This window comes from Homo sapiens, chromosome 4 (assembly GCF_000001405.40).
Source record: "Homo sapiens chromosome 4, GRCh38.p14 Primary Assembly".
NCBI lineage: Eukaryota > Metazoa > Chordata > Mammalia > Primates > Hominidae > Homo > Homo sapiens.
This window is the reverse complement of record NC_000004.12, coordinates 101071127-101085343: the sequence shown is the minus strand read 5'-3', so window position 1 is coordinate 101085343 and position 14217 is coordinate 101071127. Positions and strand designations below refer to the sequence as shown.

At 35.8% G+C, this 14217-nt stretch overlaps 1 protein-coding gene across 3 annotated transcripts in view; it reads left to right on the top strand.

The window, feature by feature from the left end:
- The window catches only part of PPP3CA (protein phosphatase 3 catalytic subunit alpha), a 324109-nt gene that overhangs the window by 262183 nt on the left and 47709 nt on the right, over positions 1-14217 (top strand). For all 3 annotated transcript variants that reach the window (NM_001130692.2, NM_001130691.2, NM_000944.5), the window contains exons 7-8: positions 2081-2158; positions 4718-4812. In NM_001130692.2, coding sequence (NP_001124164.1) covers positions 2081-2158; positions 4718-4812 — 173 coding nt within the window. The remainder of the gene's footprint in view (positions 1-2080; positions 2159-4717; positions 4813-14217) is intronic.

Here is a 14217-nt window from a genome sequence, read left to right as displayed (position 1 = left end):
AATAAGAAAGGGCAACTAAGTCGTTTACCAAGGGCAAAAAAGTGACAGACATAGTCAGGCAACCTGTCTGACAGTGGTAACAAGACAGTATACTTCTATACAGAGGCATTGCGAAGGCACAAGGAATTTAAGTGAAGGCCTCAAAAAAAGAAAAAAGATAGGGAAGGAACATTTATTGAGAACCTATTCTGTGCCCCTTAGCTGGGCCTTTTATAGCTAATATATACCAAACAAATCTGCTGTTTTTGAAAGACCAACCAGTATCTCTGAAAGTAAAGTGGTTTTTTCTTTGTTTTTGTTTTTGTTTTTTTTCTCTGACACACACTTACCTGGAAAGGTCGTATATTCACTTTTCTTTAAGCAGAACAGAAGCCTTTGAAGACACATGTTGGTCAACACCTGATTCTGGGTACCAGATGGGCATGTTTCCATGCAGAGACTGGGCCATCCTCTCCAGTTTCTAAGATACACTCATGTTCATCAGTTAGATGTTTTATTTATTGAATTGACTGGGGACAACTAGGAAGTGGAGGCCCCATGATTATCTCCTCTTTTTCTCCCTTTCTCTTACAAAACACACTACACATGGGCACATGAACAGAGACTGTTTTCAGTTTCAGATCCCTTTTTGCCAAAGAACTGAATCTTTTTTATAGTCAGTATCTCTATAACTGTATGTTATCTTTCTTTTTTTTTTTTTGAGATGGAGTTTCACTCTTGTCGCCCAGGCTGGAGTGCAATGGTGCGTTCTCGACTCACTGCAACCTCCACCTCCTGGGTTCAAGCGATTCTCCTGCCTCAGCCTCCCGAGTAGTTGGGATTACAGGCGCCCACCCCTAAGCCTGGCTAGTTTTTTGTATTTTTAGTAAGAGACAGGGTTTCACCACATTGGCAAGGCTGGTCTCGAACTCCTGACCTCAGGTGATCTGCCCGCCTCTGCCTCCCAAAGTGCTGGGATTACAGGTGTGACCCACGATGCCCGGCCAACTGTATGTTATCTTAATGATAATTTTTTCCTGTTGGTCAGGGAATTTGTACAAAATGTGTAACACAGAAACTATCTTTTCTTTTATAATAAATTATTTGAATAACATACATTACTAGAATGTTTCCCTGCAGTGCTATTTTTATAATTGATGAATGTTTTCAATGGTATATAGTTTAAGTTCTAGTGAATATTTGCAGTTTGAATATTGGTTTTCTGTACCTTGATTTGCATTGTCAAAAATTTATTTTTATAATACACATTTGTTTCATTAAAAGTTCTTAGAGCAGAGACATAATGACTGTAAAAGGTTTTTCAGGTTTAATTTATGATTTGAATTTCATTTATAATGAAGTTATTTGAGTTTGAGACTCTTAAAAGACAAACATAATTGTATATTGGATGTTTTATTTAGTCAAGATAGATAAGTCTTAAGATAAAGTTCTGCTGATCATATTTAAAGGACAAATTCTAAAGCCTTGTGAATATCCATAATTTTGTTTAGGTTTTGAATGATATAATCATCTTATTGTACCCATAATGTTAGATAAAGCAATAACTTGATTTCCCACCGTATGGGAGGAGTCTTAAATCTGGGAGATTATAGAAACAAAAATAATTAGGAGGCAGAAGAGAGCATATGTATTCTCTTCTGCCTGCAAACTCAGTTATCTCTGTTGTATACACATACATGCACACATATGCACAAATGGTGCAATATTTGAGAAAATTGAGACTTATATTTTAAATTCATTATCTTGTTATAGTTATGCTCCGTTCACTTTGTCTTTAAATGTAGACTTTTAAAAATTTATTTTTCTGAGAGTGGACACTTTCCTAATGTTTTATAATGGCTTATGTTTTTTCCCCCAGTTCATGCACCTCAACCCCTTTCTGATTATGTAAAAAGTACAGCTGTAGATGCTTTTTCTGCCACAAGGATAAACTTGGCCTTAGAGTCAAGAGGCTTGTTTCATGAATGATGTATGTTTGATTATCTTTGATCCAGTCACATAGATCTGGATGTTAGAGATAAATGTGCTACTCCTGATGATTTCCTAACAGATGCTTCCCTTTTCTTTTTGTCTCTGGCAGTTACCCGGCTGTATGTGAATTCTTACAGCACAATAACTTGTTATCTATACTCCGAGCCCACGAAGCCCAAGATGCAGGGTGAGCAGTTTTGAGCATTTATAAAAACCATGCATTGTCCATTTTCCAGAACTTCCTCACTTTGCTTAGGCTCTGCAGGTTCCCTTTTACCAGGCTCACTCCCAAAAGGAATTAGAGCTTAAAATTATCTTCTGATGGATGACACAGGTATGACAGAGTCCTAGGGAATGAATGGCTGCAGATGTATCGTACAGTCTCCCGTAAAGTTCTTACATCTTTAGCCTGAACAAGTCCATTTTCAGCTTGATTTCTTAAGTACTGTAAGGGCACCTCCTCTTATTCCTCTCAATTGTTGCATTTACACTGTCATATAAGTGAGTAAATTACCAGCTACTTTTCAGTCTTGTTGAAAATATGAATGAGAATTATACTAAATATTTAACAGGTATTGCACATTTTACTGTTGTTTTAAAGAATACCATTCCTAATCCTGAATACCATTCCTGATCCCTGTAATATCCCTGATTTTAAAGGGAAAGGAATAGGGACATCTTTAAAAACAGGGAAAAGTTTATGTTCTAACTAGCAAATGATTAAATAAAGTTGATTTTGTCTCACCTGGTAAGTTTCTAAGATGTAGAACAATTTTGGAGGTTTAGAAAATTATGAAATTTCAGATGTTCACTTTAATAGTATATTAAATCTACATTAGGGAGAAATTAGACTACTTTTAAGATTTGAGGTCTGATACCGTTTCCCAGTAGGCTCCACTGAAAGGCATTGCTTCCCTTTGAATAATTAAACTCATCCCTTCATAGTCTAGGTTTTCTGAAAAGTAGTAGCACTTCTTTTTATAACCTGTGTGCTGAAATTGGGAATATAGATACCTGCATTTTGAAGGAGGCCCATGTCTATGACATCCCTGAATCAAGGAAGATACCAAGTTCATTTCACAATTAGCTGTTTTCAAGCAATCAGTCAACAGGTGTGAACGGATCCAGTGTTATATACTCACTGTTTTGTAGCTGATGTTTGAAGTAACCTGTTTATATACCCAACCAGTCAGGTCTTCAAATAATTGTTCTCACTTGTCAAGGCTATGGTGTCACTATGCTATTTTGGCTGTGTTCCAGTCGGCTGACTGCCCATTTTTGGCAGATTTATCCTGATTGCACTACCTACCCATAACCACTGGCTTACTTGAATGTGTGTTAAGTGCATCAGTTAATATCAAGTATTTTTGTTTAAAATGAGAAGTTGATTGATTCATTGGAAAAATTGAGATTATGTCATCCAGTTTCTTTGTTTTTGTTTGTTGTCAAGTAGGCATAGTCACCCTCTGTCTATAAAGTCAAGGTACTAGGATTAAGAGTGAAACTGTCTTTCACATGGATTTTGTTTCCATAACGAAGCTCAGTTCCATAATCAGAATACATACTTTTAGAACATTTCAAAAGGTTTTTAAGGGGGCATTTTCTTTTATAGTATGACCAAGTTCCAAAAAGAGAGGACTCACAGTGTTTTTAAAATTATAAATGTTAAGGTGGCTGTTTATCTATCTAAAGATACTTTTTGAGCTGCTTTTAGAACCTAACTATATTAGGCACGGTTCAGTCTACCAGAAATAAATGACACAGATCAACGAAGAAATGATAAAATGTTGTTTTGAAGAGGTATTTCTAAACTGATACTCCTAAAATTGATTACACAGAAGTCATGAGATACATTTTTATCCTTATGTAAAAGAGACACAGTCACCTGTATTTTTAATTGAGAACTAAAGTGTTACATTATAAATTATTTCTGCTTAGTAACTGGATTGTTGGTTTATTTCCAAAGTTCTTGTGCATGTTCTGTTTCATTACTGATTGATTAAATATTACCCTGCTGAGACAATAATCTTTGACCTGTAGACACCAGCAGAGATTGGTAATAAATAAAATTCTAAAATAGAAACAGTCTCAATTTGTAAAATTTCATAGATTTAAGGGGACATTCTTTTTAAAGAAAATTACTTAGTCTAGGCAAAAATGCTTGTATATACTGCATCTAGGAATTGCATTAAATCTATGAATTAAATCTAATTATTAATCTAAAAATTCATAAATTTAAGGGGACATTCTTCTTAAAATCACTTAGTCTAGGCAAAATGCTTTACAGAATATTGTGGATTTATCAGATAATTGGCCTGGTTATTAGTGGTAAGTCTTTGTATCTTGCTCTACTTATTTGGTCTTTTTATGTCAAAAATGTTGACAACATTTTGAAAATTTTGGGTGGGTACAAAGTATCTGTGTGCACTAATCAGCCTTCTGTTGAACACATGGAAATGAATTATGATTTTCCAATGAATTCCACCCTCTCTTGAGGTTTGCTAACTTAGAAAATACCTGTTTGGAAATTTTACATATGAATGTATGTTTTCATACCCACCCCCCTGAAATGTATTAATACCTGTGTATAACAGGCTTCAGAGATAAATTTTTATTTAGTGTTATATGATTGGAGGCCCTTTGAATGATGGAACTTGACTCATCTAATTTTCTATTTCTCAATCTATGATTTGATATTATCTTTTTTCCATACAAGCTTTGTTTTGACTGTATTTGTTCTTTTTAGGTACCGCATGTACAGGAAAAGCCAAACAACAGGCTTCCCTTCTCTAATTACAATTTTTTCAGCACCAAATTACTTAGATGTATACAATAACAAAGGTAAGTGTTTTTAAATACCTCTTGCAGTCTTACATAATATGTGTAATAATTCTTAAGCCGTTTTATTTTGGTTTGGTCTTAAGTATTTTAACCAGTCTTTTTTTTTAAAATTTTTTCAGTTATTGTTTCATGCATACTTTGTGATTATCCTCAAAGATACAGATTCAAATTTGGTCAGAGATTGGGCTTATGCACTATTAATTTTTTAAATGTTTTCTAGGACATTTTAATTTTTAGCAGGGTTGACAGCTGCTGCTCTAGTAGACAAAGACTTTAAAAGAAATAATAATTGGAAATAATCCAAAATCATGCTTCTTAAAAAGAATTTGGATTTAAATAGAATAAGTGTGATTGTCCATGGAAAGGATCAAGAAAAATAAAAAATAAACCCAGTAGCTTGAAATTCAAATTTGAATTGCATTTATTGAGTATCTACCATGAATCAGTTCCTATGCTAGGCAAGTACATGTTTATTTCTTTAAAAAGCAAAAAAAAGTAAACTTCAAGGTAAATATTATTAGCTACTCTACCTCCTCCTTCTTTAATATGCAGACTGAGTTCCTGTGGTTAATTGCCTTGTCCAAGGTCACTTAATTAGGAAGTAATGAACTAGGTTCAAATCCATACTTCTGGTTCAGTGTCCTGTGCCTTTTTTCTGAAACTCCATGCCTGAAAGAAACATGAAACAAGAGGGCATTATTACTTACTACAGGGAAAAGAAGAAGAGCAAGGGGTGCATTATTATCTTGTTTCATAAATGTAATCTCTTTATTTGGAAATATTATAAAGTGTTCCACATGTGTCACATGCGTGATAAAATGTGAAAAAGCCTTTAACTCTATGTAGCATTGGTCTGGATATTATATAGGCAGCATGTCCGAGTGTGGCTTTCTGAGATTAAGAGAAATGGATCACGAAGTCAGGAGATCGAGACCAAACTGGCTAACACGGTGAAACTCCGTCTCTACTAAAAAAAACACAAAAAATTAGCTGGCCGTGGTGGCGAGTGCCTGTAGTCCCAGCTACTCGGGAGGCTGAGGCAGGAGAATGGCGTGAACCCGGGAGGCGGAGCTTGCAGTGAGCCGAGCTCGCACCACTGTACTCCAGCCTGGGCGACAGAGCGAGACTCCATCTCAAAAAAAAAAAAAAAAAGAGAAATGGAAACAGGAGGAAAAAAGCGTCAAATAACATATCTAAGGTCAAATATAGCCCAGAAGGGGTGGTAAAAGGCAGCCTAGTTTCTGCACCAGTCTGAAAACTCCTGGAATTAGGAGCCATGCCCCTTCATAAATGAGGTGTGATGGGTGTCTTCCTGGCCCAGGCCTGGTGTCCAGGATGCCTAATATGGGCCTTGGCCACCTTTATTCCCAAGCACCTGTTGAATGTCCTTAGTCCTTTGTTTCCTTTCATGTATTCCACTTTCCCATAGCCCAGAGAATGACATCTGCTGGATGGTGTTTGCTGTTGCCATACGGTCTTTTACATTGCCGTTTTGACCATAGTGGGTCCTCCTCTATAGTGAAGGAGCATGGTTATCAGTAAGGCATAGTGCAGTTTTTGTTGTAACCATGGGGAAGAAAGGAGGCAGTTCCTAGAAAAGAAGTGCTGCCATTAGTAGTCTATGGCAAGAAGAATGCAAAATAAAATAAAACATGTTCTCTGCTTGCCACGTGCTTTTAAGTATGTGGGAGTGGGAGTCAGTGATTCACTGCTAAAGTGAAGATTATTGTATTTGAATAAAATTGATGTCACCTAGAATTTTGAAAAGCACTGCAATAAAATTGGGTCACAAGCACCTTTAAAACACAATCAATGGAAAAATAGCTGTGAAGAACCTATGAGTTAATCATTTGATTGTTAGAAACAAATGATCATAAAGGACCCTAGAATTATAAGCTGATAGTTACAGTATGATTTGATTTTTAAAACTACTGTAGAGTTGACAAAGTAAGACATTTGGGTAATTTAACTAAAAATATAAGACCCAAGATGATTAAGTGTAAACAAAGAGAGTCAAACACGAAATACATTTGGTAAGGGATAATTTTCTAGAATGGTCAGAGAAGGCCTTAAGATAAAATATGATCTGGATGTTAAAGAATAGTGAATGTTTGATTAGAAAGAGAAATAAATAGTATCAGGGCCAATGAATATTTTTAAAGCAGTAAACATTTATTGTATAAAACTCATAAAAGCTAATCTCTTTGACTGGATGAGGATTCTCAATCTTGCACGAGAGAAGGACCCTGAGATACCTGCAGGGAATGCAGGAATTTAGTAAGTCATATTGTATATCCCAGTCTCACCATGATCCTATAATTTACCAAAAGTACATAAAGTATGCTTTTATATATTTTTTATAAACATGAGTGTATTGTTCTATGGCATTAAGATTTTTTACTATTAAACTGAGGGAAGGAAATGTCCCTAAAAGTCATTTTCTTGCCAAAGACTGATTACTAAATAGCATGTACTCTGCTTAGAAGTTTCCCAACAGTTTCTAAAAAAGAAAACCAAAACAGTAAAAACGGAATAAAAATTGGGATTTTACTCCACAAAAACAAACCTAGACTCTTTCAATTCTTCATAATGCTAGGTAATGCAGTTTTGCCTGAGACCAGTAGCTATTTCTCAAATAAGGTGTCTATTTCTTCTTTTTGTATAGTTCTGATTTAACAAGTTTGGAACTTAAAAAAAAAAAAAAAAACAGATACCAGTGCATCACTGACTTTGAGATTTTGTAGTTCTTTCACTGTGTTCTTGCCTTTGGGGTAGATCAGAATCTCTCAGGAAAGGGAGTAGAACTGTTTCATTTTGGGAACCCCTTCATAAAAGAAAATATTCTCCGGAGAGAAAAAGATAAACTGATAGGGAAGAGAAAGATGTATTCTTTAGTTTAAACAAAATTTCAAAAGACTTTTATGTAAAATTTCTGAAGCACTTTAAAGCTATTATACTAACAGTGTATACAGTATGTGGGAGTGGGAGTCAATTATTCACTGCTAAAGTGAAAATTACTGTGTTTGAATAAGATTGATGTTAACTAGAATTTTTAAAAGCAGTGTAATAAAATTGGATTGCAAGCACCTTCAAAACCCAATCATTGGAAAATAGCTGTGGAGAATCTGTGAGTTAACCATTTGATTGTTAGAAGCAAATGATAATAAAGTACTTTGGAATTATAACCTGTTAGTTACAGTATGATTTGATTCTTAAAGCTCCTGCAGCTTAAGACAGCAGTAATACTATCTGGCAAAATGAAACAGTGAGAAAAATAGGTTTATTCTTGCCATCTTAAAACCAATAATAGTTGTGATCAGATTCATATTTAAATGCCCAGTATTTCTTATTAGTAGTTCATACTTATCTGTAATTAACAAATAGCATTCAGAAAGTTATGAGGACTAAATGTTCCATCTCTTGGTATAGCCCACATTAATTCATTCAGTCTCATCCTTTCCAGTCTGCACTGTCTTCCTGCCTGTCTCCCTGCCTCTGTGTCTTCACTCTGACAGCTCTGCAAGATGCCATAGCAAAAGATGTAGGTTTGAATCTCAGCTCTGCCATTAAGCAACTAACTCATGTAAATTTATTGGACATGCAGTGGCATTGCTATGAGATGAGAAAAAATGTTCGTTTGTGAATACTGCATGAAATCGCTTTGAAACAAAATGCTGTGCAGTATTAAGACATTATCATTATTGAATATTTTATGTTGTTATTATTTTGTCACATGTTAGTGCAAAGCTTCACAGAAGCTCGCAGGAAAATTCCCTTATTCCTCAGTTTCTTATTTATAATTTCACTATATGCCTGAAACTACCATTATCACCTGTCTCTCTGCTTATCTTGGAGTAAACCTCATTGCCCTGAGCAACTTTGGCTTTCTGTTTCTCCACTTTTTCACCTGCATACTTATTTCTATCCAAAATATTTGTCTCATTCTTCTGCCTAAGTGGACTAGACCCACTCCAGTCTGCGTTTCCATAAAGACTTCTGTTGGTGGTCCTTCTCTGAATGTCTGCAATGCTAATCATTTTCTCTTGTATTTATTGTTTACGTTTTTCTTGTTAGCTTTTGCATGCATTCCTGTTATTTCCCAATGAGGTTATAATTAGTTTGACACATGAGGCTTTTTGGTACACATTGTAAAGCCAAGTTGCATGCCTTGTACGTGGTAGGCAGTCAATACATGCATTGATTTAAGCATTTTTTTTTTTTTTTGGAGAATTAACAGCAAGACTGTGACCAGAAGTATCCTATCAATATTGACCCACAGATCTTTATCTCACTTTAAATCACTCCTATAACCAGTGCTGATACCCTTTCTAAATTGGAGTTAAACATTTGCAGAGCACTTTGCACATCTGGATTGTTGAATTTTCTCCTGTGAATCTGTAGACCTAAAGGAAAACCTATTTCCTAATTACTCAAATACACCAATCAGGTGAAAATTACAGTAATGACACATAGCTTCAATTTTTAAAAAAATTATTTGCCCCCTGTAAAAGTGATTTTAACTATACCCACTCACCAATACAATAAACCTTTATTGAGAACTTACTATATACCAAGCTCCATGCTAGGTGTTGGGGATATAAATGAAACAAGACAGACATGGTCTTTAACCTAGTGTGCTTAATAATCTGGTAGTATGATAGACATTAAATAAATAATTCCACCAATGATTATTTATATGTATTTGGAAAAAGCAACAAAGAAAAGAGTGGTGTGATATGAGAGTGAAAATTAGTCTATGGGGACTAATTGGGGAAGTGACATTTAAGCAATCAGTGAGAGTAAAATCTCTCTGGATTGAGAAATAGAGTGGCAGATGTGAACATTGGCTTAAACAACTCAGTTTGGCCAAAAATTGCAATGAACCTCTGGGAAAATGTATTTTATACCTTGATGTAAACACTTGAATTCATTTTCTCTGTAGAGGTACACCTGTGCTTCAAAAGAATCTAAAGTAAACGACAGTAGGTTTCCATGTGGTACAAGTTCTTTGTAGTTCAGATGAGTTGTTGGATGGACGGGTGATTAGATGAGTAGTTAGATACATATGTAGAGAAATATAAACATATATACCAGGGGTATGTAACTTAGTTCCAGTACACACTACTGACAGTAAAATTAAGGAAATTTGTTAAATGAAAATTATTTTGGATTTGAGAGGAAAGTCTAATGGCAACGAAACTAATTTAGTAATCAAGACCAAACATTTAAATGATAACCAAGAAACAAACCAATTCAATATTAAAGTAGTTAAGGAAGAGAGAGGTAGAAAATTGCTTTTATAAGATGCACATGGAAAGCATCTGATGTGGTTTTGCTGTGTCCCCACCCAGATTTCACCTTGAATTGTAATAATCCCCACCTGTCAAGGGCAGGGCCAGGTGGAGATAATTGAATCATGGAAGTGGTTTCCCCCATACTGTTCTCATAGTAGTGAGTAAGTCTCACAAGATCTGATGGTTTTATAAATGGGAGTTCCCCTGCGCAAGCTCTCTTGCCTGTCACCATATAAGACATGCCTTTGCTTCTCCTTTGACTTCCACCATGATTGTGAGGCCTCCCTAGCCATGTGGAGCTGTGAGTCCATTAAACATCTTTCCTTTAAAAATTACCCAGTCTCAGGTATGTCTTTATTAGCAGCGTGAGAACAGACTACTACAGCATCATTTGCTAAAATTCTGAGATGCAAAAGTCTATCCTTTTTGATAGGGAAAAATATGATGTTTTGGACTCATAAATTAGCAACTTGATATAATTGCTGATAAAAAGCATTTTACTCTTGATGTTTTCCATATCCTCATATATTTTCCAATCAAAAAGGAGTCATAGGCTTCAAGAAGATACCATTTATAAATAAAAAGAGAATTTCTGGCTTGGCAGGAAGATACCATTGTAAGAGAGAATGGAATTGCTGCTGTAATGAACCAACATAAGAATTTTGTTGGCAGTCATGATGTGAACAGAAAGGAGCAGATGTAACATATCCGATGCCAGCTTGACTTGGTCTCCTGACTTCTGGCGGGAACCCTCAGTGACACTGTCTACATAGTGTGGTATGGCCAGACCTCAGAAGCTCATTCCATACTATACCACAATTTTTTTCCACTAGGAGGTTGTTTTATCATTCAGGAATATTTTTCACAAACTTATAGATATCTGCTACCCCTGTGGTTCACAAGCCAAATTCAGAATCAGCTAGCTCAGATCTTTCTGAGAGGGAGATGAGGGGTCTCCGAAAGGAAAGTGGAATCTATACCCAGGCGTCTCCAAGTAGCATATCTGTTTCCACCACAGCACATCAAAGAGCTCACTCCCCTACAAAGTTGAACCATATTTTACAGCAAAGATCCATTTCTACGAGCCTGAGGCTTGTCTTAAGCATGGACATAACTTTTAGTATTGACTTTTAAAGCACTTTTTTTGTATCCTTACAACCACAGGTTAAATATGATCACTGGTTGCTTTAAAAGTTGGATAAAATTAATCCAGAGACTTTGCCCCGTAACAACAGTTTTCCCAGCATATGCTTTTTCCCTGCCATCATCTCAAACCTGAAGATCCTCTTAATGGGTCCTGAGCACTTGTTTGCCCCAGATCACTTACTGCAGTATAAAAAACGTAAACATACAGTCAGGGCAGTATATTTGGTACTTTCTAGTAATTGTAGGCCAAGGTTGTTTTACTTTTTTATTTTTGTTTTTTGACTAAAGTAAAACAATAAGACATCCCCCCAACCCCTAATTCATTCCTTCATTTATTTGATAAAGATTCTTAAAGCCATATGGGTATGATAGAATCATACACACTAGAAGATAATTTATTCTTAATGATTATTAAGCCTAAGAGAGTTCACTGAGAAATGTTATGAAATACAATAATTTATATGAAGGAATAAAGTAGAAATTACAAACAAAACCTCTTAGTATTCTTTTATTATCAGTATGAGGTGGTACATAGGCCGTGTGCATCCCAGCACTTTGAGAGGCTGAGGCGGGCAGATCATGAGGTCAGAAGTTCGAGACCAGCCTGGCCAATATGGTGAAACCCCGTCTGTACTAAACATACAAAAATTAGCCAGGTGTGGTGGCCCGCACCTGTAGTCCCAACTATTCGGGAGGCAGAGGAGGAAGAATCGCTTGAACCCGGGAGGCCGAGGTTGCAGTGAGCTGAGATCACGCCATTGCACTCCAGCCTGGGCAATAGAGTGAGACTCCATCTAAAAAAAAAAAAAAAAGTATGTAAGTGTGTATATACACTATACACACACACACACACACACACACACGTATATATATATGGTGGTAGAAAAGAAATTTATGTAAACATTTAAGGCTGAAGAGAACCCAAGGGTAGGAAGTTTTGATTGGCTTTTAGAAAAATCACCCTCTGAGATGAATGATTAAAATTCACTGCAGAGAGGTTTCAACAGAATGTCTCCTCTCATTGCATTTTATATCCAAGATTCAATATGTGTAATTAATCCAACTGTAATATTAATTTCATTTACCATTGTCATTATCATTGTCACCTTGAGTGATATAGCTTTATATATATATATAATTTTTTTTTTTTTTTTTTGAGAAGGAGTCTCACTCTGTCCCCCAGGCTAGAGTGCAGTGGCTCAATCTCGGCTCACTGCAAGCTCCGCCTTCTGGGTTCACACCATTCTCCTGCCTCAGCCTCCGGAGTAGCTGGGACTACAGGCACCCACCACCACGCCTGGCTAATTTTTTGTATTTTTAGTAGAGACGGGGTTTCACTATGTTAGCCATATTTTTTAAAATCTTCAGTTGGTTATATATTTAGCAAATATAAATATTTCCCTTCAGTTGTGATAGCATACTATACTTATGCTGTTCACTTTGTTCCTATAAATAGCATATAATAATAACTAACATTTTTGAGCACTTATTATGTGCCAGACACTGCTCAGAGTTTATGTGTATAAATGCATTTAGTCTTTCAACAACCCTATGAATTACTGTATAATCTTGATATTATTGATGAAAATCTAGGGCACAAAGGAACTGCATATTTTTCCCAAGGTTGACACAAGCTGATACCAGAAAGCACTGAGATTGAAACTCAGCTGACTGACTGCAGAGCCCACATGCCCATATATTAACCTCTGTCTGTACTCTTCTGCCTTAGCTTTGTTGTGTGAAATGTTTGTGAACGATCCACTAATCCACCCTTCACCTCATGGTTCCATTATGTTTAGGTGACTCTAACCATTCTTCAATAAGAAAAGAAAGCTTTTGAAATGAAGAGTCATTTGTTATCACTTTAAAATTACCTGAGTGTTATGCATCCAAATACATGCATTATTAAAAGAATGAAGTTAGAATACCTTGTACATTTTTCTAAAATAAATAATTCATTTCTCCCTTTAAAATGTATTCCCTAAAGCACTTTTGCTTTTGTTTATTCAGCTCCACTGTGAAAGTGTCATTGCTGGAGGCCACTTTGTAAATAGGTTAGTTTTAATCCAGTAGTCACTTGCTCACATTTAAACATTTAATTAATGGAAGGGATGGTAGAATATAAACTATCCCATTAAAATTTAATATTGAAAGATTCCTTGTACTATATATTTTAATTGAATGAATCTACACATAATCTCTGTATCTTTGTGCCAACAGATGACCTTCTTGATTTCTTAAAAATCACTACTCTCTAATTGTAAATTTAGTTAAGTAGTTGTGAAACCTCAACAAAGTTAAGACACAGTGTGTGAGGTAATTCTTGCTTTTCACAAAGCTTTGCCTATAGAATTACAGGATTTCAGATGTCAGAGTTAGGGGAGACCTTACCAGGGAACAAAGGAGGAGTCAATGCTGAATCCTCCATACAGATTCATTGCCAAGTGCTCTTCTGCCACCAGCTGAAAAGGGTCAATCAAAAAATCCATCTTAAAGTATTGAATTCCGTTGTCTGATAGCCCTGATAGTTGATTCTTCAGTTGAACTAAAACCTACTTCTTTAGAAATCTCATTCTCTATAAAGCATTCAACAAGAGAAAAACAGTAACAATCTGAGGAATGTTAAAAACTTGAATTAATGGGTTGTCACTTGCTATTCATTATCTAGGAATTCTAGACCTGCAAGAGACTCTTAGACTTTACTCTTACAGTGTCAAAAAGTCTGTCATAACATTATTTCCATGGAAAACAATGTTGATATGAAGTGTAGGAACTTAAAACTAACTCAGTGCCAAGGATATCTTGGAGATAACCTAGAATCATTGCAAGCTATAGCTCAAGGCCTGATACAAAGTCCAAGCTTGAAGTTGAAAAGGGTCTTCTACGAATGTGTAGTGATAACACCAGTTTCAAAATACCTCCCACCAGAGTACAGTTACCCTTATTAGGCTTTTGGAGCTGCACT